The sequence below is a fragment of the Homo sapiens genome, chromosome 17 (genome assembly GCF_000001405.40).
Source record: "Homo sapiens chromosome 17, GRCh38.p14 Primary Assembly".
Lineage (NCBI taxonomy): Eukaryota > Metazoa > Chordata > Mammalia > Primates > Hominidae > Homo > Homo sapiens.
In genome coordinates this window covers 76,950,404-76,977,351 of record NC_000017.11, presented here as the reverse complement: position 1 = coordinate 76,977,351, position 26,948 = coordinate 76,950,404, and the positions used below count along the sequence as shown (strand labels likewise).

The following is a 26,948-nucleotide window of genomic DNA, read 5'->3' as shown; positions in this document are numbered from 1 at the left end:
CAGAGACCTCACCAGAAGCAGATGCTGGCACCATGCTTCCTGTATAGCTTGCATAACTGTGAGCCAGCAAAATCTCTTTTCTTTATAAATCACTCGGTGTCAGGTATTCTTTTATAGCAACAAAAACAGACTAATACAGTTGTTAAACCCAATGGAATGAAAACAGAGACTGGAGAGAAAATCTTCATCCCCTCTCCTCAACCTCTTAGTCAGCATTCAGGGCTGTTGTGGCCTCAACTGTGTTCCCCTAAAATTCATATGCTGAAGCCCGAACTCCCCTTCCCCTTCTATGTGACTATATCTGGAGATAGGGTCTTTAAGAGGCAGGTAAGTTTAAATGAGGTCGTAAAGGTGGGGCCCTCATGGAACTGGGGCTTTATAAGAAGAGGAGATTCTCTCTCTGTCTCTCTTTTTCTCTCTCTCTCCTTCTGCCATGGGAGGACACAGCAAGAAGGTGACCTTCTGTGAGCCAGGGAGGGAGCTCTCACCAGAACCCAAACATGCTGGCACCCTGACCCCCAATTTCTAGCCTCTAGAATAGCATGATAAAATGCATTTCTTTTGTGTAAGCCACCCCATCTATATTATTTGGTTATGACAGCCCAAGCAGACTAATACGAGGACATTGATGGAACACACTTACTACTCAGCACAGAGAACCTGGAGGAAAATGATACACTCTTCAAGCCTCTGTTTCTTCCCCCATGACCTCCATGCCGTGGGATAGGAAGGTTGAACCAGGGCCTCCCAGGGCACCATCTTGCTTCTTCTTGTCCCTCAAAGCTTGCCTAAGTGCAGCCTTCATTACAGCCCAATTCTTTACAGGGAGCCAGCCAGAGGGTGGTAAATTCCCAAGATCTGTGTCTGTTTTAATTTTGTTTGCTTTTATTTCAGCCTTTATGAAGATAACATATGCCTGTTGAAAAAATCAAAAGGTACAGAGAGCTTATAATAAAAAACAACAGCCTCCTGTCTTATCCTTCCTTCCTTCCCTGGTTCACCCCCTGGAGGTATCCTGGAGGGTTAGACTGCAGTCTAACCACTTCTAATTGCCCTCTTTCTGGTGGTTGTCTCTGAAAGTCTAGATAATGTACAAATATTACTATTTCTTGATTTTTCAACTTTAACCAAAAGCCATTGGATTCCCACTGTGAAACATGAAGATTCAGCTCACTTCCTTCTCTTCCCCCTCCGCCTCTCCTAGTTTGATGGTGGTTGTTATTTGGGTTGCACTGTATACCTTTTAACTCTAGTAGATGAATCTCTATTTTATGTGGCATCAACTTTTGACAGTATCTCTTTGTAATTCATCTCTTTTCCCAGCAATTCTTTCCACTCCTGATGACCATTTTGATTTTTACATTGTCAAAGTTCTCCACACTTACCATCTGTCCCTGAACTTCAACCACGTCTTCTCTGTGTTATCCATAGCTTGATTCTAAAAGTTGAAAAGAATAAGATGTTCGTATTTTTATGTCCGCGCAAATATTTTTTGCTGTTGGATCAAGCAGTATACGAAAATATTCACTTTGGGTCCAATGTCCAACCTTGGATCACTCATAGATTATTTCTAACATCAAGGACCAATAGATTCTCTTTTCTCACACTGAATCAATAGCTTACAATCATGTCACATTTAATATTTTTTGAGTTGGGTCATCATTTTCTCATATAATTGTTTATTTTTCCTAGAGTTTCTAATTGCCTTTTTTGTATTATGTACTTTAATCATATCTCCATCATACTATAAATTCCATGGCATTCCTTTTTCCCTAGGCAACCTCCCTTTTAGAGTCTACTCTTCTTGCTACAATTTTCACTGGTTGGTCTCTAGGCCTAGGGTTACAGGATCCTTGGTGTGTCAATTTTTTTCCCAGAAACCTCTGTGGCCAGTGGCACCTTTGCCTGAGTTCTTGTCCTGTGTCCAGGAAGAATGAGGTACACAGACAAGTGAAGGATGAGCAAGACGAAGAGGAGCTTTATTGAGTGTTACAACAGCTCAGTAAGACCCGCAACAGTAGGTCATCTCTGTAGGCAGGTTGTCCCATCAAGTGTTCAGCAATCAGCAGAGAGGAGGCCTTGGAAAGTGTGGCTCCCCTCTGCAGGTAGGTCATTTGGATGTCTCTGCAGGGCTCTGAGGTTCTCAACAGAGAGGGTAGCTCCTCTCTGCAGCCGGCTGTCCTGTCATATATCTGCTCAGCTCTGGCTGATCCTGGGGCTTTTATGGGCCTCAGAGAGGAGGAAGTGTATGGGCAGCCATGGGTGGGCTCGGAAAAGGCACCAGTTCCCACTTCAGTCAGTGGGACTGGCAGCCTGGCCCCTAGCCTTCAGGACCTCCCTGGCCTGAAGGTGATGCCTCACCAGGGACCTGCCCACTTCTGCCGGGAACCTGCCTCCTGCTGCTGTTCATGGCACCTGGGCTCAGCCTGACTTTTCTCCAAGATCAGAGCAGGCATTGACAGCAGAAAGCCAGAGAGTGGGGGCAGGCACTTCTGAGCCTGCGAGGGCAGGGGTGCCTTCCTGGGACCCCAGCAGTGCAGAGATGCCTGAGTCTGCTGCTGCAGTTTGGGTGGCTCCAGTGGCACCTGGGAGGGCAGGGCTCCTGCCTGCTCCTGGCCCCCCAAGAGCACAAGGAAGCTCAGATCTGCTGCCACAACTTGGGTGGCTGCCGCCCCACCAGGAGGCCCTGCTCTGTAGAGTGTACAGCCCCAGCCATGCCTCCCAGCATGATGGCAGCGCCAGGCCATCTGGAGCAGCTGCTGCCATCACTAGGGTCACCCATCACCTTGGTTTGCCCAGGACTGCAAGGTTCCCCAGGAGATGACTTTCAGTACTGAAACTAAAAAGTCCCAGCCAACTGGGATGAGTTGGTCACCCTGTCTAGGCCTGAGATCAAATCTCAGAACTTCCCTTGACTCTCTTCTAGGTTGGATTCAGTTTCCTGGATCTTCCTCTTTCTTTGTTTACTCCCTGATTTCTCTGGAGAACATCGTCAAGCAACTTTTAAAGAAAGGCAGCCGGGTGCAGTGGCTCACGCCTTCAATCCCAGCACTTTGGGAGGCTGAGGCGGGCGGATCCCAAGTTCAGGAGATCGAGACCATCCTGGCTAACACGGTGAAACCCCATCTCTACTAAAAATACAAAAAATTAGCCGGGCGTGGTGGCGGGCGCCTGTAGTCCCAGCTACTCAGGAGGCTGAGGCAGGAGAATGGCATGAACCCGGGAGGTGGAGCTTGCAGTGAGCCGAGATGGCACCACTGCACTCCAGCCTGGGCGGCAGAGCAAGACTCTGTCTCAAAAAATAAATAAATAAATAAAATAAAGAAAGGCTGTGTTTGTATATGTATATCAAATCATCACATTGTACACCTTAAATATACACAATTTCTATTTGTCAATGGTACTTCGATAAAGCTGGGGGAAAATGTTTAAGTGGGTGTGCTGAAGATAATCTGTGTCTTTACGTGTTTGAAATGTCTTTATTCTGCCATGAGGTTTTTGACAGATAATGTAGCTAGATATATAATTCCAGGTTGAAAATAATTTTCCCTTCTAACATGCAGCCATCCTGCACCCATTCCCTTCTAGCACCCAGTGTTACTGGTAGGCAATGGGGTCCTAGTCTGCCCTCCTTTCTTTCTGTACAGAGCCTGCTCCTCTTCTTTCTGGGTTCCCCAGCTCTGTTTCCTTTAGCTTTTGCATTTTGAGATTGTGTATGTTCCAGTCCTTCTATTGAACTTTTCATTTTAGCAAGCATATTTGTTCATCTCCGGAGCTCTTTGATGGTTCTCTGGGGTTTTCTTATTCCAAGAAAACTGAGCTCTCTTATAGATGGAATATATTCTGCAGTCTGCCTGAGTATATTCATTAGAGGGCTTAAATGCTATCTTCTGTTCCGTGAATTATTTCTGCTTCCTCTGGGCCAGTGTTTTTATTGCTTTCCTGCTTTTTCTCCTTCGCATGGATGGTCTTCAAATGCCTGGGGATCCTTCATGGCTCATTCACATGTAAGAGGGAAGGACACGTGTAAGAGGGTGGCAGGTTGGCATTTCCTCTGCTATGGAGTCAATTGGCCTCTCCATCCCCTCCTGTGTAGGCTGGGGTGGGGGCCTGTATGTGGGATGGGCAGGGATTTTCTCTGGAGCATCAACATCTTCACAGGTGCACACTCATAGTTGGCGGCCTTGCGGTTCAGAGGCCTTAGCTTTCCCCAGCAGTTTTCTTCTTTAGCGAAGAGCCTTCCAGGGTGTCGCTGAGTGAAATGCACAGAGGGCGGGAGAGGGTGAACCGCTACTTATGCAGTTATTTCATAAACGACCGTCAGTGACTCCCCTATGCTCAGCAACCAAATGTTGCTCTACAGAATCTCTTGCCCCTGAGCCCCGAGTCTCGGAGGCTCTGTCTGGTCACTGCCCCTCTCTCTGCAATTCTATCCTGAGCTGCAGCACTCTCTACCTGTGTAGCAAGCAACGCCTGCCATCCACTGTCTCCCAGGGATTGGTGACCCCCCACCCCTGTCCTTGTGTTGTGGGTTTATTCCTTTTAGTCTATTACATTTGCATTTCAGGGCCAGGGGGCGGAGGGGAGCTTGGAAGATTCTCATATGCACAGCCTTCAAAACAGAAGCTTTGCCTCAAGATTGAATTGGGGCTTGCCATGAAATAGAGGCTCCCATGACACAAATAAAATTGGACATTTATGGACGCTTGTAACACGCGAGCCTCTGTATTTTACATGCTTTGTCTTTTTTAGTTCTCATTGTTTTTATCCCCATTTTACAATTTAAAACTGAGATGTATAAAAATTAAGGAATTTGCTCCAAATCACATGGCAGGTAGAAAGTGGAGGCAGAATTCTAACCCCCGCCCACTCAAAGTGAAATCAGCCAAGTACCTGCCAAGCAGCTGGGGAGATGTTCCTGTGGGGCTGCTTCCAAAACCCCCACCCACATTTGTGTTACAGGAAAACTGCACACACCAGGCTTCCTCCAGAAGCTTCCCCCAAGAGAGGCAGCCTTGGGAGCCATCTGACCCAGCCTGGGGCAGGTATGGGGCTGCATCCTGCCCCTTCCTCTCTTCCATGCCATTAATGGGCCTCAGCTAGAGCCTCCCCTGGGGCCACCTCCTGCTCTGACAGCTGTAGGGAAGAGGAGGGAGCTGAGACTTCCTTCAAGCTGAGCCTAAGGCAGAGCTGTTCCACGGCATTCCCTCCCCTGGGCTGCAGGTAACACCACCCGAATGAGACGGGAATAAACACAGGGTGGGTTACAGGATAATTACAAAATTCCAGGCAGCAGTTTTGTCAGAAATGTTGGAACCAGAGCAACTCCATCTTGAATAGGGGCTGGGTAAAAACAGGCTGAGGCCTGCTGTGAGATAAGAGGTCAGCACAAGATACAGGTCATAAAGACCTTGCTGATAAAACAGTTTGCAGTAAAGAAGCCCACCAAAGCCGAAACCAAACCAAGATGGCAACGAGAGTGACCTCTGGTCGTCCTCACTGCTACACTCCCACCAGCACCATGACAGTTTACAAACGCCATAGCAACATCAGGAAGTTACCCTGTATGGTCTAAAAAGGGGAGGCATGAATAATCCACCCCTTGTTTAACATATAATCAAGAAATAACCATAAAAATGGGCAACCAGCAGCCTCGTCTGTACAGTAGCCATTCTATTATTCCTTTACTTTCGTAATAAACTTGCTTTCACTTTATTCTACAGACTTACCCTGAATTCTTTCTTGCACAAGATCCAAGAACCCTTTCTTGGGGTCTGGATTGGGACCCCTTTCCTATAACAATTTCACACGACTAGAGGTTATGGGCCGGTAAAACCCTGAAAACCAGGGTGTGTGGACCAAGCTGGCTGAGACCAACAGGACCCACCAAGGTGCTGGATGTGAGCCGGGTTCCTCCTAGGACCTCGTTATATGCTCATTAACATCCTAAATCACACACCTGCCAGCGCCAGGACAGTTCCAAGACCACCCGTATTTGGTGTAAAAATGAGTGGCACCACAATTCTGAGAAACGTCCACCTTTTTTCCAGGAATTTTCATGAATATCCCATCCCTTGGCTAAAGAAACCCATAAGGATGAAACCCCAAACCCCACTGTGCGATCCTGTCTTGAGAACGCCACACTCCCCTTTCTTGAGTGTGTACTTTTCGCTTTGCAATAAATCTCCATACTTTCACTGTTTTCTGACTCATCCTTGAATTCCTTCTCGAAATGGTGTCAAGAGCTGGGGTTGAGGTCCCAACGGCATTCGGGGACCTCCCCAGGCCCATCGGTATCATGAAGAGTAAAGTGACAGCCACTGCGTACTGAAGGACTACCATGGTCAAATACATCAGCTCCAATTCTCCATAACCCTTAAAGATAGGGACTAGCATCCCCATTCTCCTGATAAGAAAACTGAGGCTCAGCGGTGAAGGAACTTGCCCAAACCACCCAGCTGGTCAGCGGCAGAGCCGGACTTGAACTGGGTCTGAAATGTGCTCATGCCAGCGTGCCCTATAGACAGCGACAGGACTTCTACCTCCTCCACAGCCTGGCATGGCCCTGTTTAAATTTCGGTGCTGCAGAAGGAATAGCACTCGAATATAAAATTTTCTTTTTTAATTCTTAGCAAGGCAAGTTACTTCTATAGAAGGGTGCGCCCTTACAGATGGAGCAATGGTGAGCGCACACTTGGACAAAGGAGAGGAAGGGGGCTCTTATCCCTGAGGCACGTGGCCCCTGCTGCTGTGTCGTTCCCCTATTGGCTAGGGTTAGACCGCACAGGCTAAACTAATTCCGACTGGCTAATTTAAAGAGAATGATGGGGTGAGTGCTTTGGCTGGAGTCAGGGCAGAGCAGGTAGCAGGTAATCTGAATGAGTCAGGGTGGAGCAGGTGATCAGAATGAGTCAGGGTGGAGCAGGTGATCAGAATGAATCAGGGTGGAGGACATAATCAAAAAAGGTTGCTTTACGAGAAAGTTAAGTTTAAAAGTAGAAGGCAAAGAATTGAACATAGTGACATATTAATTCTTTGAAAATAAGTTTAGAACTCATATCTAATAGCCCTAAGGTGCAGCCAGGCCCCAAAGCCTGGGCTAAGGCTCAAGAGGCCCCTAGCCAAGGCGTTCCCAACGCCACTGGGTTGCGACCCTTGGGAGTTTTCAAAGGTGAACCTTGGGCACTGCCCCCTTCAGACCCATTGTCTGGGAAAAACAGCCACCTGATTGTTGGCCAAGATTCCGGATTAATCCTTCACCTGCCTGGCCCCAGCTGGCCACTTGACCCAGTGCTGTGCCCCAGCCAGGGATGTGTCCTTGCAGCCAGCAGCCCTTCCTTCAGCATTAATCACGTTTACAGCTGGCTCACAGAGCTGCCAGCCTGGTAGATGCAGCTGCGGAGAATGTGGGTTGAGGGGTGGTGGTAAAAAAAAAAAAAAAAAAACTCGCGGAGTCCAGGGAAGGGGGAGGGGGTGTGGGTGGGAATGACAGGAAAGGAACAGGATGTGAGGTCTAACTTTTAAGGGTAATTGTCACAAAGACTGGAGATTGTAGAGAAAACATTTGCAAAAGCATCTAGCCCACTGCCTCCCCTCTCCCAGAGGAAGTCAGTGCCAGATAGCAAAGAGGTAGGGAGGGGGTCTTGGTGCAGAGGGGGCACCAGGAAGGGCTGGAACGGGGCACTAGGTTCTCCGGGCGGGAAGCGCTGCACAGAGCCACTGGGCGGAGCGGCCGGAACTCCAGGGGAGCTCGCGCTGCCTGCCAGGCTCTTAGCAGGCTGAGCTCATGCAATTGCCCTGAAGACCCCGGATGGAGATCGCACAGTGCCCCCCTCACCGATGAGTCTCACTGCACTTTATGGCAGCCTTGCCTCAAGAAATTTCTATTTTCACCACCAAGGGTTGGTCTTAGGCTTCAGCCTTGGATCCTGCCCTCTGGGGACCCCTCTCCTCCTCCCCGACTTAGGAGGAGAAGGCAGGGCTGGGGCGGGTGAGCAGCCGAGGGTCTCCAGGCAGAGCTCCTCATGCATAAAACAGGCGGGCTTTTCCTCCGCAGCTAATCAGAACCTCTGGGCCGAAAGATGCAAATGAAGGGCCTCGTCAAGTCATTTCCCTTGCAAATGAAGCTGCCGCTCCGGCGCTTTTTCCTCTTGAATACCTCATCAACACCGCAGGTGACCCGGAGCCCGCTGCTCCGCTCGGCCCCGCCCCGGGCAGCTATTTGGCACATTTCAATTAGCGTAACGGGTGCCTGGTAAACAGCCGAGGCCGGCTGCGGGCACCTGCAATCCCCGACCCCCGACGCCCTCCCCGAGACCCTGGAGACGCGGCTCCGCCCCCACCGGTAATTAGGAGATTTTCAAGGCCTATGTCCCCAAAGCCCAGCCCAGCTGGAGAGATCAGCCCTGCGGTCCTGCCGCGCACTCCACCGCCAGCCTCTCGGGAGTCAAGGGATCCGCCTTCAGGGTGTAAGTGGGGCTGGGGAGCCTCGGGAGAGGAAGGGTGGTGTTTGGGGAGTCCAGGCCAGTTCTTAAGGCAGACGGCTACGGGCCACGTCCGCTGGCAGAGCTCAGCTTCAGATAAACCCAGGGATGAAGAAAAACTCAAGCCGCTCACCCTCTGGGTGCCTCAAAGTCTTTCTATCTGTAACATAGGCTAATGAAATTACCTTCCTTGTAGGGACTTAGGAGTAAATGAGATGATCTGGGTATAGCCTTTGCAACAGTATCTGGAACTTAGGAATTGCTCAATAGGGGCCAGGCGCGGTGGCTCACGCCTGTAATCCCAACACTTTGGGAGGCCAAGGCGGGCAGATCACCTGAGGTCAGGAGTTCGAGACCAGCCTGGCCAGCAATGGTGAACTCTTGTCTCTACTAAAAATACAAAAAATTAGCCGGGCGTGGTGGCGCACGCCTGTAATCCCAGCTACTCAGGAGGCTGAGGCAGGAGAATCGCTTGAACCTGGGAGAGGGAGATGGCAGTGAGCCGAGATGGCGCCATTGCACTCTGGCCTGGGCGACGAGCGAAACTCCGTCTCAAAAAAAAAGAGAAAGTGCTCAATAGATGCTAGCCACAATTTTTGTTAATATTCTATCAGCGCTTCCCTGAGTGCAGATATCAAACCCACCACAGAGTGTACAGTGATCCTACTACAGAAATAGCCACTTACCGTGGGAGGGAGGATGAATTACTTAACCTCTGTGCTGCTGTTCTTGAGCATAAATAATGTACCTATTTTGCCTGGCGGGGTGGCTCATGCCTGTAGTCCCAGCACTTTGGGAGGCCAAGGCAGGAGGATCGCTTGAGGTCAGGAGTTCGAGGCCAGCCTGGGCACCATAGCAAGATCCCGACTCTACAAAAAGTAAAAAAATTAGTTGGGCCTAGTAGTGTGCACCTGTAGTCCCAGTTACTGAGGAGGCTGAAGTGGGAGGGCCACTTGAGCTCCTCAGCCTCCTGGTTGAAGCTGCAGTGAGCTGTGATTGGGCCACTGTACTCTAGCCAGGGCAACAGAGTGAGATCCTGTCTCTAAAAATAAAGTACCTATTTTGTGGGGTTACTTGGGGGACTGACAGATAACAGAGCTCAAGTGCTCTTTAAGGACTTTGAACCAGATTGCTGCATCCAAATCCTGGCCCCACCCCACCTAGCTGTGTGACCTTGGGCAAACTACTTAAAGTCGCTATGCCTCTGTTCCTCCTCGTAGCATGAGGGCATGTAGTAGTTCTCACTACTAGGATTATAAGGCATTGCTAGAGAATACTTTTTATAAAGGAGTATCATGGCTTCATCAAATAGAACAAACACGTGTCCATGGTTTTATTTAACTCATTAATTCACGAGGGATCCTGCAAGGTGCTACAACCAAGTTCAAAGGAGAATTCAAAGGGCACTCCTAAGTAGGCAGTCAGGAACATGGAAATGAATTTACAAATAGATGCAAAACTGGCCACAAGGCAGGAATCAATTGCATTCCATCCAAAGCTTCCTTCTTGGCACTGAGCTTGGGTGTGGGGACCCCTTGCCAGGGCTTCTGAGGCCAGAGCTCCTGGGGTCATCATGGCCTGTCCAGCCATCCCTTTTCAGGACCTGTCACCTTGTAGGGAGCCTCCTAGGACTGGGACACAGGTTCCCCCACCCTCCGAATCATCTGCCCTCAAAGCTCCAATCCTCTTCCTTTCTGGGGAACATTTAGTGACATTTTGTGAAACTGTCTCCCATTCTCCAAGCCTCAGAGCCGTCCCACCCTCAGAAGTTTATCTTCCACCCTCCTAGCCCTTAGGGGTGGATGAGAGAGGAGAGAGAGGGGAGAGAGGGGAGAGAGGGGAGAGAGGAGAGAGAGGAGAGAGAGGAGAGAGAGGAGAGAGAGGGGAGAGAGGGGAGAGAGGGGAGAGAGGAGAGAGAGATCTGAATTCGGATTCTTTTAAAGTGAGGACAAATGACACATTACCACGCTGGGAAATCATCCTGCCCCAAATGGTCACTACTTTAAAATGTTACCTTGCGTCTGTTCAGAGGGGGCTTCTCAGTTCACCCAGGAGGGAGAGACCCTCAGAACTCTGCCAGTCATCTTCTCAGGGAAGCCTTTCCTGTCCTCACCTCCCACCTCGTCCCAGCAGCCCGGCTCTGCGTTGCCAGAACTCCAGGGCTTAGCTCAGGCCCTACAGGTGTGGTCTGTCTGCCTGCAATGACCCAGGAGCTCCCTGAGGGCAGGGCTGGGTCTTCATCTCCCCACTGTCTGGCATCATCCTAGCAGGGATGGAGCTCAACACATAGCCCAGCCGAAGTCCCCCAGATGAATGAGCAAACCCTGAGTCTTGGTTGAGGCTTGGTTCATGCAGCAGGCTCGTGCCTTGGCCCTGGGAAAGCTCCCAGATGAGTTGGGCTGGGCAGAGGTGCAGGGCCCTCAGCCTCTGGCTTACCCCACTCTCTTCCACTTTACTCCACTCCACTCTCATCTCCTCGATCCACCCCACCTCTGCTAGTTAGCGAAGCTCCTTGGAGATTCCTCTTGAATTTTCATTAATTTCTATTGAATAATTAAAACCAGGAAATTAATACTTTCATCCTAAACCTGAATTGCAGTGTGTGGTTTTTCATAATTATAATTCCACTGTAGCATTAAATGTTCAAGTGAGCCATCCCTCTCCAGGGGCAGAGGGGACAAAGAGCCATGTCCTGGGGGCTTAAACACAGTATTTGGCTCAGGATAGGCACGCAATAATTACTTTTTAATGGATGGATGGATGGATACATGGGTGGGTGGAAACAAAGACCTTTCCAGGACCCAGCAACTGATACCCCAAAACATGGCGCTTTGACATGAGGTGGCCTCAAGGTCTCTCTGACCTCCCCCGCAGTCCTCTGTCTCTCTCAGAGCACAGGATGAAGCCGATCTCTGAAGTTTCCTTATCTACCCGGAAACCAGACCTGCCAAAGAAGGATGCAATTGCCTTCCCTGAGGCTTTTCTTTTCTTTTCTTTTGAGTTTTTGTCTTTTTGTTTTTTTTGAGACAGAGTCTCACTCGGTTGCCCAGACTGGAGTGCAGTGACGTGATCTCAGCTCACTGCAACCTCCGCCCCCCAGGTCCAAGCAATTCTCCTGCCTCAGCCTCCCAAGTAGCTGGGACTACAGGCACACGCCACCACGCCTGGCTTATTTTTGTATTTTTAGTAGAGACAGGGTTTCACCATGTTGGTCAGGCTGGTCTCAAACACCTGACCTCAAATGATCTGCCCGCCTTGGCCTCCCAAAGTGCTGGGATTATAGGGGTGAGCCACCACACCCAGCCACTTCCCTGAGTTTTCATTACCAACTCATATTGCAGGAAGAAAGACTGCTGTCTGTCAACACACCTAGGCAGACTTGACACACTGCTCTGTGGGCCCAACAGACTCTGTCCCAGGCCATTATATGTTCTCTAAGCCCACAGAATCCCCCTAAAAATCATTTATCCTCTTAAAACATCCTTCTTGAAATCATCCCCATTTTCCCACCTTCCCTTCCCCTATGACAAAAGGTACATAAGTATCTGTGCTGGACACAGTAGCTCATGCCTATAATCCCAGCACTTTGGGAGGCCAAGGCGGGTGGATCACCTGAGGTCAGGAGTTTGAGACCAGCCTGGCCAACATGGCAAAACCCTGTCTCTACTAAAATACAAAAAATTAGCTAGGCATGGTAGCAGGTGCCTGTAATCCCAGACACTTGGGAGGCTGAGGCAGGAGAATCGCTTGAATCCGGGAGGCAGAGGTTGCAGTGAGCCAAGATCACACCATTGCACTCCAGCCTGGGGGACAAGAGTGAACCTCTGTCTCAAAATTAAAAAAAGGTATATAAGTATCTGTAAGCCACCAAGTTACTGGGTGATCATTCTACAATTCCCCCGTGCTATGCACATTACAATAAATTGTGAACGCCGTTTCTCCTATTAATCTGCCTTTGGTCAACTGATTTTCAGTGAAGCTTCACCCCTACATATCAACAGCCAAGAGAGCTGTTTGGAAGCTTCTGAAATTAGGGCTGACACCTCTACTTCCTGGGCTTTGTTTCTTTCATCGAAATAAAATGGAAATTGCAGGATACCAAGAGGGAGGAACCTGGTCAAAGAGGCTTTGCTTTTTCTGTCTTCCTTTTTTTTTTTTTTTTTTTTTTTTTTTTGAGATGGAGTCTCACTCTGTCGCCCAGGCTGGAGTGCAGTGGTACAATCTTGGCTCACTACAACCTCTGCCTCCTGGGTTCAAGTGATTCTCCTGCCTCAGCCTCCCAAGCAGCTGGGATTACAGGCCTGTGCCACCACACCTGGCTAATGTTTGTTTGCTTGTTTGTTTTTAGTAGAGATGGGATTTCACCATGTTGGCCAGGCTGGTTTCGAACTCCTGACCTCAGGTGATCCGCCCGCCTTGGCCTCCCAAGTGTTGGGATTACAGGCGTGAGCCACCGTGCCTTTTCTTTGCTTTTCCTGTATTCCTACCCAGTGCCAGGCCACCTCACATCCAGGTGTTCCCTGCCCTGCATCCAGCCTTGCCCGAAAGGTGGGATTCCTCAAACATGGCATCTATTCCGGGCTCTGGAACAGGCTGACTGATGAGAGGGAGCAGAAAGGTTTGGTCGCAGCCCACAGCCTGGACCCTCGGGGACAGCCAGGAGATTGCTCTCACAGGTGTGGACACCCTTCTAATCCCGATTACTACCTCTCTCGCTCCTGGCAGGAATTGGGGTTCCACCATGTCACCCTCATGGAGCTTTCGTTAGCCTTGTTTGGGATACAAAGGGGTAAGTGTCCCCTCATTTTAGAGAAAGATCAAGAGCCAGTGAACAGGATTTCCCAGCCAGGGACATGGAGCAGGGCACCTGCAGATGGTCCACGTGCTCTTGGCTGATGGCAGCCCACCTCCGGGAGGGGCCTGTGCACCTTTCTCCCAGGAGGAGGGAAGGACCCAATCATTATCCAGAGTCAACGGTGAGTCTCAGCCTCATGTTGTGGGTTGGGGGCAGCAGTGGTTTCTAAGGGGGTCTCAACAGGAAGAGGGTAAGGCTGACATAGCCAGGGGAGCAGGGAGAGAAGCCGGTGGGAGAGAGATGGGAAATGAGTGGGATATAGCCTCTAAGGTGAAGCTGCCTCCTAGGCCCACCTTGGGGGCTCCTGAGAGGTGGGAGATGCGGAGGGAGGGCTCTCCAGGTTCCACCTGCCCTTGTGTAAGTCAGGATGCCCAGGTTTTTTTTTGTTTTTTTTTTGAGATGGAGTTTCACTCTTGTTGCCCAGGCTGGAGTGCAATGGCATGATTTCAGCACACCGCAACCTCCGCCTCCCGGGTCAAGTGATTCTCCTGCCTCAGCCTCTCAAGTAGCTGGGATTACAGGCATGTGCCACCAAACCGGCTAATTCTGTATTTTCAGTAGAGACAGGGTTTCTCCATGTTGGTCAGGCTGGTCTCGACCTCCTGACCTCAGGTGATCCACCCGCCTCGGCCTCCCAAAGTGCTGGGATTATGGGTGTGAGCCACCACGCCTGGCCAAGTTTTTCAGGGCAGTGCTCCCACCTGGCCAATCAGAAGCCCCCGGGAGCCACATACCTCACCACCAGCCATCTAAGCGTCTCTCCATTGTGGGGCCCTCCCCATAGACACTGAGCTCTTTGAGAATGAGGATGGCTATGTTTACCACTGTATCTCAAGGTTCAAGTCCAGGGCCACCCACAGGACTGGAGTTCAGCAACTCTTAGAACAGGTCTGATCCTCACTCTCCCCTCCCTGCTCTGCTCCACCCATGCTAGCCTCTTTCCTCCATCTTGCACCTGCCTCAGGGCCTTTGCACAGGCTGTTCCTGCTGCCTGGAAGCTCATCCTTTTGGCTCACTCCCTCACTTCCTGCCCAAATGTCATCTCCATGAGATCGCCCTGGAAACCCAGGACTACCTTCCCACCTTCCACACTCCCTTGCCCTCTTGCTATAATTTTCTCTATGGCATGTATTAAATATTTGTTTATTGTCTGTCTTCTGCCAACTGCATTATAAGCTCCCCGAGAGCAGGCACCTTCTTTTGTACACAGCTGTATCTCCAGAGTGGTGCTTGCGGGCAGCAGGTTCTCAATAAACTCGATGAATGAATGAATGAATGACCATCCCTGGCCAGGGAAGGAGCACAGGGCATTGGGCCTAATAGGGGAAACCTGTTCCCTTTAGACCCAGCTGGCACGCAGGGGCCAAGTGGCCTGAGTTTGGCACCAGGGATTTCATCCTCTCCCTCGGTAGCAAATGGTCACCTGCTTCCAGGCCATCCTGTTCCCTCTCTGCTGGTGGCCATGGCTGCAGCAGCCCTCTCAGACTGAAGGCCCACTCTGATCTTTGGGACCACACTCCTCCAGGTCCTCCCCATGCTTTCCGGCTGTACCCTCATCCTCAGGACGAACCTCCGCACCTCCTCCCATCATCTCAGGCCCCATCTGCAAAGTTGGGATCAGAGAGAGGCCCAGACTGCGCTGGACAACTGAGCCAGTTTTCATTTCAAATCGAAGTTTAAAAGATGCCACTTTTAATTATGCTTGAGTGCAGTGTACCCTGAGGCCTTTTGTGGTAAATGGCTCTCAATAATCCCAGTTTATTCATTAATTATTATTAATTATTTTCTTAAGTAGTGGCAAGGGGACGCAGGGCCCCGCTCAGACCACAAGTCGCACATCGACTGTCAAATCCTCGATGAGCAGGCTCTGAAGAGTTGCCTGTGCCGGCTGCAATCTGGCTCGCCTGGGCCCGGGCTGGGGTGCCAGGAGCACTCTGGACTGAGGCGGGGCTTCCAGAGCGTGGGGCAGGGCTGGGGGAAAGGAGGGCCTGGAGGAGCCACAGGCCACACCGGACAAAAACACCTTCCACCAGGGTGGCACTTCACCTTCGGGAAGCTCCTTCACTGGATAATGAAGACTTTTGTCTTCAGCAAAGCGAGGAAGAAAAGAATTACCATTACCACCAGCCAAGGCACCTGACACATGTGGTCAGTGGTGAACTGGTAAACTCGTTCTCCAGAAACAAAACAATCATCTCAATCATCTAACATTTCTTTCCTCTTTTTTTTTTTTTTTTTTGATACAGGATCTTACTCTGTCACCCAGGCTGGAGTGCAGTGGCGCAATCTTGGCTCACTGCAGCCTCAACCTTCCAGGCTCAAGTGATCTTCCCACCTCAGCCTCTTAAGTACCTGGGACTACAGGCGCACACCACCATACCTGCCTAATTTTTGTATTTTTTGTAGAGATGGGGTTTCGCCATGTTGCCCAAGCTGGTCTCAAACTCCTGAGCTCAAGTGATCCTCCCACCTCGGTCTTGAGGCTTGAGCCACTGCACCTGGCCTACCATTTCATTATTTATGATTCTATAATATTCCACTGTAGGGGCATACAGGTCCCTTAACTTCTCAGTTCCTTACTACTGGGCCATTTCCCACTTTTCATTATTCTAAACAAATTTGATGAACAGGCTTTTGCATAGGTATCTACCCATACCCTCATTCACTTACCTAGGTGACATTTCTAAAGGTGAAATTAACTGATCAAAGGACGTGTGTTTTTAAGGCTTTGATGCACATTACTTAACTTTAACTAAACTCAGGAAAAACGGTGATAAATTATACCCCAAGGCCAGCACTTGGGAAGCTGAGATGGGTGGATCACTTGAGGTCAGGAGTTGGAGACCAGCCTGGCCAACATGGTAAAACCCCATCTCCACTAAAAATACAAAAATTAATGGGTGTGTTGGCATGTGTCTGTAATCCCAGCTACTAGGGAGGCTGAGGCAAGGGAATCGCTTGAACCCAGAAGGCGGAGGCTGCAGTGAGCCAAGATCACAGCACTGCATTCCATCCTGGGCAATAGAGTGAGACTCGGTCTCAAAAAAAAAAAAAAAAAAATACACACACACACACACACACACCCCAAGGATAGATATTTATAGGGGATCACACTGATCTTTATATACGAGGTCTAGAACAAGGCAAAATGCAAATAAGAAAAAGTCCTGAATTCTAGTACTTGCCAGTTTCCATGGTGTAATACTCCCATCCTGGCCAGTATGGAGATACTAACAATTTAACAACTGGCTTGCAAAATTCCTGAAAATCTAACAACCGTCTCTGGGAGCTCATGGGAGCTGACCCTGGCACCTTAGTGTGTGTGATGAGATTTCCTCCTTCTCTGAAAGGAGGTCATGGTAATTTCATCTGTCAACTTGACTGGGCCATGGGGTGCTAAGGTGCTGGTCAAACATTCTGGGTGTTTCTCTGAGAGTGTTTCTGGATGAGATTAACATTTGAAGGCTTGGTGCAGTGGCTCATGCCTGTAATCCCAGCACTTTGGGAGGCCAAGGCGGCCAGATCGCTTGAGCTGAGGAGTTCGAGACCAGCCTGGGCAACACGACAAACCCCATCTCTACTAAAAATACAACAATTAGCTGGGCGTGGAGGCGCATACCTGTAGTCCCAGCTACCTGGGAGGCTGAGGTGGGAGGATCACTTGAGCCTAGGAAGTTGAGGCTGCAGTAAGCCGTGCTCACACCAGTGCACTCCAGCCTGGGCAACAGAGTGAGACCCTGTCTCAAAAAAAAAAAAAAAGAAGCGAAAGAGGGAGGCAGGAGAGTCAGCATCAGAGGAATGAGATACAGGAAGGAGTCGACTGGTCATTGCTGGCTCTAAAGATGCAGGAAGGGGTCGAGAACCAGGGAGTGCAGGCAGCCTCTAGAAAACAGAAGAGGAAGAAAATGGATTCTCCCACAGAGCCTCCAGGAGGCAAGCAGGCAGCCCTGCCGACACATTGATTTTAGCCCAGTGAGGGCCGTTCCGGACTTCTGATGTTCAGGACTAAGATATATTGTGTTATTTTATGCCACTAAATTTGTGGCCATTTGTTTCCAAGACGGTGGTATTGTCCCCATTTAACCAGGTGATGGAACAAAATTTCAGAGACATAAACTCTGTGGGTCACAGCTAGTGATGGGGGCCCAAAACAGGGTTTGACCCCAGGGCTGTCTGACTCCATGGCCCACGTTCTTTGTTGTATCCCAGAAGAGAAGCCACTGTTTACACGAAAGCACCTCTGGGAAGGTTAACAACTTCGTCCTGTGTCAGGCACGGGAACTGCGTAGCCTTTCTTCATGAAACACCAGAAAATAAAAGAAACCGGCCGGACACGGTGGCTCTGTCACCCTAGGACTTTGGGAGGCCAAGGCGGGCAGATCAGTTGAGGTCAGGAGTGTGAGATCAGCATGGACAACATGGCAAAACCCTGTCTCTACTAAAAATACAAAAAAAAAAAAATAGCCAGGAGTGGTGGTGGGTGCCTGTAACCCCAGCTACGCGACAGGCTGAGGCAGGAGAATTGCTTGAACCCAGGAGGTGGAGGTTGCAGTGATCCAGGATCGCGCCACTGCCCTCCAGCCTGGGTGACAGAGCACAAGACTCAGTCAAGAGAAGAGAAGAAAAGCGGAGGGGAGGAGAGGGGGAGAAGAAGAGAAAGGAAAGGGAAGAAGAGAAAGGAAGGAAAGGAAAGGAAAGGAACAACCACAAGCATCCACATCCAGCTTAAGGCAGAGATGAGTTTGCAGGAAGGAGGGGAAGCCCAAGGGCCGGAGTGAACCAGGAGCTGAAAACCAGACGGTGGCTGCGTGAGTGTGGCCAGCGCAGGCCGAGGCTTCCTGGTCCTGGGGTCCAGGGCTTGGACTCTGACTCCTCCACGGAGATGAGAGGTGTGGCCTGGGGGATGGACATGCAGAATCGAGACCCCTGCATAAAGCCAGGCCCCTTCAGTTCTGCGGTCTCCGTGGAAGGACAGAGCAAAAACACCCATCCCCAGCACAGGGAGATTGGGAGAGGGTCTGTCACTATGGGAGAAGGAAGATCAGAGATATTGGCAGAGCGGTCTCCAGAACTGATTAAAATCAGGCACCAGCAGATTCAGGAAGCCCACTTGAGTCCTCAGCAGGCCCCAGCCCTGGACACAGGGGCTCAGGACACAGCCACTACTAGACAGGAGACTGTACCCTCCGGGCCTAGTGCCTTACCAAGCACTGCTCCTGGGAGAATGTTTGCTGAACGGATGGTGATGGGGAGAGGGAAAAGAGAGGGGAAAGTGAGGGTGTCTAAGTCCAGCTTGAGACAAGGCCGGGGGATTCATAGTCTCCACCCACCCTCTGCCTTCAGAGGTCCAAGGATGGGGTGGGCACCAGCATGGGGCTGGGGGAGCCATGGGGGCCAGGGGTATCTGCTGTGGGCTCAAGGAGCCCTCCCAGGGCTCAGACCCCAGCCTGAAACTCTCCCAGCACTCCAAAAGCCAAATCCCACCCAGCTCTGGGCTGCTTCATGGGGCCCCAGACTGGAGAAGACACCCCACGAAGGGTCTCTAAGGAAGAGGCGCTGGTGGTCAGGCCTGGGCAGCTGTGGGAGCTGAGAGTTTAATGGGGAGAACGTGCTCTGTTGGCTTCACGCTCCAACATCAGGGGGAACCAGCTGCACCGTTTCCCCAGAATCACGGTCTCTTGAGCCCAATATTCAAATATATGCAGACGTCGGAGCCTGGACTATTTTTAGCTGAGACTCAGAGGGAGATGATCTCAGGCTGACTCGGAGAGTGGCCCAGTCCCAGAGGAGCGCAGAATCAACCTGAAAAGTCAGGCTTGGGGACCACCCCCTTCTCCTGCTGTAAGCGCCTGGATTCTGCACCCCAGGTGCCCTGAAGGTCTGTGTTGTGGGTGTTTATTTGGGGCGGAGGGACTGGTCTGCATCCCTGGGGAGCTGTGTTCTCTTTCCTTCGATGCCTTTTTTCAGCAAACACTTTGCTTTTCTGCGAAAAGACAAAGCGGGCTGCATGCTGGAGCCAGCGGCCTGGCTAGGGGGCCGTTTACCTCCCGACTCGGGATGCGTGGCTCAGCCTCTTATTATCTTGAAAGGCAGCAGAAGTCTGACCCCTTCTGTGTGAGCTTCCCATGGCTGTTATAGTCACTTACCACCGGCTGTGGCTTAAAACCGCGGGAGCGTATTTCCTCACAGTTCTAGAGGCCAGAAGTCCAGCATCAGGGTGCCAGCAGGGCCGTATTCCCTCTGAAGGCGCCAGAGAAGGGTCCATCTTTGCCCTCCCAGCTTCCGGCGGTCACCAGCAGGCCTTAGTGTTTGCTGGCGCAGCTGCATGGCTCTGATCTCTGCCTCTGTCTTCACAGGGATTTCTTCCCTGTGTGTCCCCGGGTCCTCTTCTGATAAGGACACCAGTCATTGGACTTAAGGCCTCTGCTAATCCAGTCTGGCCTCATCTCAAATTGAAGAACATCTGCACACACCCTATTTCCAAGTAAGATCCTATTCACAGGCACCAGGGGTGCCTTCAATGCATCTTTTGGGGGGAACACAATTCAACCCACAGCATCTTCTGTGTTGTTCTGCCCAAGGACAGCCACCCCCCAGCAGCCGCGGTGAGAAGTTCCCCCAGGTTTGGGGTTTCCAATCTTGGGTGGCGGCAGGCTGGGAGCCAGGGACCGCTTGAGCCTTACTGTGCTCTCCTGCTAGGAGGGGCGGCAGCTCCTTGCCCCTGGAGACAGCGCGGCTCCCCAGAGCAGCTGAGTGTCTTGCAGTCATCAACAGCCACCTCATCTCAGAGGCAGCACCTGGAATCTTACCTGCCTCACCTCCTTTAGTCCTCAAAACACCTGTGTCCCAGGATTATGTCCCTTATTCTACAGAGGAGGAAGCTGAAGTGCAAACTAAGAGGAAGTTCCGAAGCAGCAGGTTGGGGTGCCAGGTGCCAGCCTGGTGAGGAGCTCGGGGCTCTCGCGAGGACCGTGACGGGGCTTTCACCCCATCTTCCCTTCTGAGTCGGGCTTGTTGGGATGGGGTGGTGGGGTCTGCACCTGCACAGCCAAGGAGGAGCAGGGCAGCCTCACCCTAGCACAGTCCTGAAAAGAGGGCCCCGCCCCCTTTAAGGGAATACGTGATTCCCTTTTAGAGAGTGCTAGGCCGATACTTGGAGGAGCCAGTGTGGTCGGGCAGAAAGGGGTGGACAAACCTAAACCCTACGGACCTCTTTTTTGAGACCCCAAACTGCCTGGGCTCTTGCCTCCCAGAAGTCAGATCTTCCCCAGGGGAGGGTGTGGGAAGGTGGGGTTAGGGAACATACAGGGTCTTTGGGAGCCTTCTAAGTCAGCCAAGGCAGCTGGGGCAGCTGCAGGGCCAGAGCACAGGGAAGGCAGGTCCCCAGGTCTAGCTGCTCGGCCTCCAGCCCCGCCAGGCCCAGCTAAGAGGGTGCTTTGGCTGCCAAGAGAAGAACCCAGGGTGGGGACTGCCTCCTGGACCTCCACAGGCAGCTGGCCTCCTACAGTCCTGCTGGGACCTGGGACCCCGTCCTCTCTGCTGCCCTTCAGCTTCCCTGGCTGTGAGGGACAGAACTTGTTACCAGCCTCCCACTCATGTTATTTCTCCTGCCCTTGAACTTCAGGACTGTCTTGGAGCCAGCCGAGGCCTGTTTGCATCCTTTGCCCCCAGGTCCAGCTGGATCCCCCACCTTTTCCTCCACTGGATTCAGCCTAGTGGGCCCTGGGCTGCAAGAGAAGTTGCTTCAGCCCAGGGGCTGGGGCTGGAGGCCAAGGCTTCAAATGAGGCCTCCCCAAGTTGGTACTCAACCTCCTCTCCCTCCTTGGAGGGCAAAGCCATGAGGGCTGCAGAGAGGAGCTAGCCAGGTATGATGGGTAAGTGCAGTGGTTCACAGTAGAACCACACTAGACACATAGAGGAGTGCTTTATGAAATGCTGATGCCCAGCTGGGTGCGGTGGCTCACGCCTGTAATCCCAGCACTTGGGGAGGCCGAGGTGGGAGGATCACTTGAGCCTAGGAGTTTAAGACAAGTCTGGGCAACATAGTGAGACGCCCCCCCACCCCCATCTCTATAAAAAAAATTAGCCAGGTTTGGTGACGCATGCCTGTGGTCCCAGCTACTCAGGAAGCTGAGGTGGGAAGATTGCTTGAGCCCAGAAGTTTGAGGGCTCCAGCCTGGGTGACAGAGTGAGACCCTGACTCTAAAAATAGGAAATTTTTTTTTTTTGAGATGGAGCCTCAACCTCCACCTCCTGGGCTCAAGCGATTCTCCTGCCTCAGCCTGCCGAGTAGCTGGGATTATAGGCGCGCACCACCATGCCCAGCTAATTTTTGTATTTTTAGTACAGACGGGGTTTCACCATGTTGGCCAGGCTGGTCTCGAACCCCTGATTTCAAATGATCTGCCTACGTCGGCCTCCCAAAGTTCTGGGATTACAGGCATGAGCCGCCCTGCCTAGATATTTTGGTTTTTGGTTTAATTGGCTCAGGTGAGTCCATGGGCTGAGGGGCTTCATCACACCTGTTTCCTCACCTGTGAGTGGGGAGGGGTGGTCACCTGGCAGGGCGGTGGTGAGGCCGGCCCGTGCCTGCCCTTCCCTCCACTGTTCAGAGTTGGGCCAGGGCTGAAGGAGGCGTGGCCAGCTTCAGAGGAAGGTGTGGGAGCCGCAGCTCTGCCTGGCACTGACATCTGGGCTGCAAATTCTTTCTAATTCTCAACTTCTCCCCCACTACTGCCAGCCAGCCCCTTCAGCTTCATTTAAAAGTTCAGACAGGATTCAAAAGTAGGTTGATATATAAAGACCTATTAAAACTCAATACTAAGAAAACAACTCAATTAAAAAATGGGCAAAAGACCTGAACAGACACTTCGCCAAAGACGATACACAGATGGCAAATATATATGTCACGTCATATGTCATCAGGGAAATGCAAATTAAAACAGCAATGAGATACCACTGCACATCTATCAGAATGGCCCAAATCCAAAACACTGACAACCCCAAATGCTGGTGAGGCTGTGGAGCAACAGGAATTCTCATTCAGGGCTGGTAATACAAAATGCTATAGCCACTTGGGAAGACAGCTTGGCAGTTTCTTACAAAGCTAAACATACTTTTACCATACGATCCAGCAATCGTGTTCCTTGGCATTTACCCGAATTAGTTGTTGGAAATTGTGTCCAGGAGCTTCTGGACAGCTGAACATGTGGAGGTTCCTGGGAGGTGGCCGTCCAGGGAGGGCACGGAAGTTCCGTGTCCTCCGCCCCCTTCATACCTCACCCTACGCATCTCTTCATCTCTACTCTTTGTAAAATCCTTTACAATAAACCGGTAAACCTAAGTATGGCCATGTGACTAAGCTCTGGCCAATGGAGCACAATCAGAAGCAGCATGAGCTGACTCCCCCTCTCCTTTTTCTCTTTCATTGGATGGAATGAGGCCTTAGAGGGGACCCATCTTGGACCGGATGAGGACAACAGTCCAGAAATGCTGGAAGACCAAGCTGCATCTTTGGCAGATTATATTTTCCAAAGATAGAGGCAACACTATATCCCATTCCACGAGCACTTCTTCTGCTGTGACTTTGACACCCCTCCCATTGAGGGGTGGCATCTATGTCCCCTCCTCATGAGCTGCAGCAGGAGGAGCTTTGTGACTCTCTTGACCAATAGAGTATGCCAGCATTGACAGCATGTGGCTTCCAAGGCTAGTTCAAAAAAATGCCTTTCACTTCCACCTTATTCTCCTGGGATGTTCACTCTTGGAACCCAGCCACCATGCTGCACGGAAGCACAAGAGTCCTTGGAAAGGCCTACATGGATGGGAACCATGGCCCCCAGCCCAAATCCCCTGCTGAGCTCCCCAGCCGACAGCACCAACTTGCCAGCCACATGAGTGAGCTGTCCTGGAAGTGATTCTCCAGCCTTGGGGCAAGCCACCTCAGCTGATGCCATGTGAAGCAGAGACAAATTACCTCCACCAGGCCCTGCCCAAATTGCAGATCTGTGAGCAAAACAAATGACTGTGACTGTTATAAGCAGAAAAGAAAATAGAAAAGAAAATGGATTCCACTCAAAAACTTGGAAGTGAACATTTATAGCAGCTTTATTCAGAACTGCCAAAACTTGGAGGCAACCAAGATGTCCTTCAGTAGGTGAATTTGTAAACAAACTGTGATCCATCCAGACAATGGAATATTATTCAGTGCTAAATGGAAATGAGGCACCGGGCCACGAGAAGATGCAGAGGAATGTTAGATGCATGTTACGAGGTACTAGGGGGAAAGGAGCCAATCTGAGAAGGCTACAAACTGTAGGGCTCCAACTACCTGATGATCTGGAAAAGGTGAGACTACGGAGATGGTCGGAAGATCATGGTTTTCCAGGGTTAGGAGGAGGCAGAGATGTACAGGGGTAGCACAGAGGATTTTTAGGGCAATGGAACCACTCTGTATGGTGCCATAATAGTGGATACATCTCATTAAAGATTTGTCAAAACACGTAGAATACACGGCACCAGGAGTGAGCCCTAATGTGAACTGTGTTTGGTTGATGATACGTCAGTGTAGGCTCATAGATTGGAACACATGGACCACTCTGGTAGGGGATGTGGATGGTGGGGGTGGCCTGTGTATGTGGGGGAGGTGGCATATGGGAAATCTACTTTCCACCCAACTTTGCTGTGAACATAAAACTGCTCAAAAAAATAGTCTTTTTTTTTTTTTTTGGAGACAGGGCCTCACTCTCACTCAGGCTAGAGGGCGGTGGTGCGGCATGATCACAGCTCACTGCAGCCTGGACCTCCCGGGCTCAAGTGATCAAGCGATCCTCCCACCTCAGTCTCCCAAGTAGCTGAGACCACCGGCACTTGCCACACTAGCTAATTTTTAAATAATTTTTGTAGGCCGGGCGCCCTGGGTCGTGCCTGTAATCCTAGCACTGGGAGGCCGAGGTGGGTGGATCACCTAAGGTCAGGAGTTTGAAACCAGTCTGGTTAACATGGCGAAACCCTGTCTCTACTAAAAATACAAAAATTAGCTGGGCGTGGTAGCAGGTGCCTGTAATCCCAGTAATCCCAGCTACTCGGGAGGCTGAGGCAGGAGAATTGCTTGAACCTGGGAGGCGGGGGTTGCAGTGAGCCAAGATCACACCACTGTACTCCAGCCTGGATGACAGACTCCATCTCAAAAAAATAAAAATAATAACAATTTTTGTAGAGATGGGTTCTTGCCATGTTGCTTGAACTCCTGGGCTTAAGTGATCCTTCTACCTCAGATTCTTCCACCTTGGCCTCCAAAAACGCTGAGACAACAGGCGTGAACCACCGCACCTGGCCTTTTTTTTCTTTTTTCCCCTAACTAGGCTCAGTTCCTAAAAGAAGGCCTTGGTCAGGTTTCTGAGCCCTACCCCCCTCCTGCTGGACAAGATCATGGAAAATGCCTGGCTCAGCTATTCTTTTCTCAGCCTCTTTTAAGCAGCATAGCAGAGAGGGACAGAGGTAGAGACAGAGAGGGACTGAGATCTGGGCTCTTCCTCCAGCTGTACGATATGGACCAGGCCCCTGTTCTCTTCGGGCCTCCATCTGTAAAATGAGGGGACAGGAGGAATTCTGATGGCCTGTGGCTTTGATCTCTGTGAGCAGATTTGGTTGTATGAGGTCTCTCCCCTGGCATTACATGCTGGAACAGAAGAAAATGGCCATAGTCACTGTTAATTAAAAACTGGTACCAAGTTATTGGTACTCTCACGTTTGAAATACCTACTAGTACCTGCTTGGTCTAGACCAGCTGTTCTCAAAGTATGGGCCCTGGCCCCCTGTAGTAGTAGCAGCAGCACCCAGAGGTTTTTTCTGTTTTTGTTTTTGTTTAGAGAGATGAGGTCTGTGTTACCCAGGCTGGTCTCTAACTCAAGCATCGGCCTCCCAAGTGCTGGGATTACAGGTGTGAGCCACCATGCCTGGCCTTTTTCTTTCTTTTTCTTTTTTCTTTTTTTTTTTTTTTGAGACAAGGTCTTGCTCTTTGCCCAAGCTACAGTGCAGTGGCACAATCATGGTTCACTGCAGCCTCAAACTCCTAGGCTCAAACCATCCTCCCACCTCAGCCTCCCGAGTAGCTGGGAACACAGGCGCATGCCACAAACCTTGGCCTTTTTTTTTTTTTTTTTGTAGAAACGAGGTCTCATTACGTTGCCCAAGCTCGTCTCAGACTCCTGGGCTCAAGCAAGCCTCCCGCCCACCTGGAGCTTATTAAAGACTCAAATCCCAGGGCCCAACCCCAGATCTGCTGAATCAGAAACTCCGCAGGTGGGGGCCAGCAACATGTGTTTCAGTAAGCTCAGGAATCAGGTGATTCTGATGCATGCCAAAATTTTAGAACCACTGGCCTGGAACAGGGTGTGTGAAGCTTGGCGCTGCTGATGCTCCAGGCCAGATCATCCTACGTGGTATGGCTGTCCTGTGCACTGGAGGATGCTGCCAGCATCCTTGGACTCTACCCCACTGGAGGCCAATAGCATGCCACCCCTGTCTCAAGTCACAACAATCCAAAACAGTGCCAGCTGTCCTCCAGGGAACAAAACTGCCCCAGTGGAGAACCCTTGGTGGGAAGGAAGGCCCTGATTGTGCAGTGACTCAAATACAGGATCACATAAAACCTGGAGCGAAGGCCTGGCGCAGTGGCTCATGCCTGTAATCCCAGCACTTTTGGTGGCCGAGGTGAGTGGATCACCTGACGTCCGGAGTTTGAGACCAGCCTGGCTAACATGGTGAAACCCCGTCTCTACTAAAAATACAAAAAGTAGCCGGGTGTGGTGGCACACGCCTGTAGTCCCAGCTACTCGGGAGCCTGAGGCAGGAGAATCGCTTGAACCCAGTAGGCAGAGGTTACAGTGAGCCGAGATTGTGCTACTGCACTCCAGCCTGGGTGACAAAGCGAGACTCCGTCTCAAAAAAAAAAAAAAAAAAAAGCCTGGAGCGAAGACGTGCATGCAGGGTCACCATGCCAGGCTGTCACTCTATCCAGCCATTTGCTCCTCACCATGACTTGAAAATGATCCCCATTTTATAGCAAATCCCACCTCCCTGCTTACAAGCTGTGTGACCTCGGGCAAGTTACTTGAACTCTCTGTGCCTCTCGCTGTAAAATGGAAATATTAACATAATAGTACTTACCTGCTAGGGTAGCTGAGTGCTTGAAATGACAACTCAAGCATGGAACAAACTCTCAGCCCAGTGCCCGAGGAGGTAAACACCGGCTCATTTTCTCATTATGTGGCTCAGGCTCTTAGCAAAATGGATTTGTGTTCTCTGACCTCGTGCGGCCACTGTCACAGCCAGCTGGAGGTAGGCAGAGGCCAGCCTGAGGTGAACATGACTGAGTTCACCACTGCTTGTCAGGGTGCCTGCAGTCACGGCTCTGGGGCAGCCAGGAGATGACCCTGGGTCACTGCCACCAGCAGGGACTTCCTTTGGGCGGCTTGGAGCAGACAGCACCCAGCTCTGCAGACCTGAGCACCCCATGTGCCCCAAGTGACATGGAGCAGAACCCGGGGACCCCGGCTGTCTGCCCTCCACCCTGGGCGAGCTCCGGATGCCGCAGGAAAAGACGAGAA

At 51.0% G+C, this 26,948-nt stretch overlaps 1 long non-coding RNA gene across 2 annotated transcripts, besides 3 other annotated features; it reads left to right on the top strand.

Annotated features, from left to right (window-relative positions):
- Window positions 7,350–7,974: an enhancer, noted in NCBI's record as "NANOG-H3K27ac-H3K4me1 hESC enhancer chr17:74965460-74966084 (GRCh37/hg19 assembly coordinates)". NCBI's record gives its function as "activates a minimal SCP1, AML or CMV promoter by ChIP-STARR-seq in naive H9 embryonic stem cells {active_cell/tissue: H9 hESC(naive)}" and the evidence as "EXISTENCE:reporter gene assay evidence [ECO:0000049][PMID:30033119]".
- Window positions 8,153–26,878, top strand: LOC105371899 (uncharacterized). Of its 2 annotated transcripts, none has more exons than NR_136417.1 (3): window positions 8,153–8,468; window positions 13,209–13,459; window positions 26,793–26,878. It is a non-coding gene; the product is annotated as an uncharacterized LOC105371899 (long non-coding RNA). The 2 variants fall into 2 exon arrangements; NR_136416.1 differs by lacking the exon at window positions 26,793–26,878 and adding an exon at window positions 14,303–14,606.
- Window positions 8,223–8,302: a silencer, noted in NCBI's record as "silent region_9030". NCBI's record gives its function as "represses an Ori minimal core promoter by ATAC-STARR-seq in GM12878 lymphoblastoid cells {active_cell/tissue: GM12878}" and the evidence as "EXISTENCE:reporter gene assay evidence [ECO:0000049][PMID:35858748]".
- Window positions 18,604–19,517: an enhancer, noted in NCBI's record as "H3K4me1 hESC enhancer chr17:74953917-74954830 (GRCh37/hg19 assembly coordinates)". NCBI's record gives its function as "activates a minimal SCP1, AML or CMV promoter by ChIP-STARR-seq in naive H9 embryonic stem cells {active_cell/tissue: H9 hESC(naive)}" and the evidence as "EXISTENCE:reporter gene assay evidence [ECO:0000049][PMID:30033119]".
- Window positions 26,879–26,948: the final 70 nt, after the last annotated feature.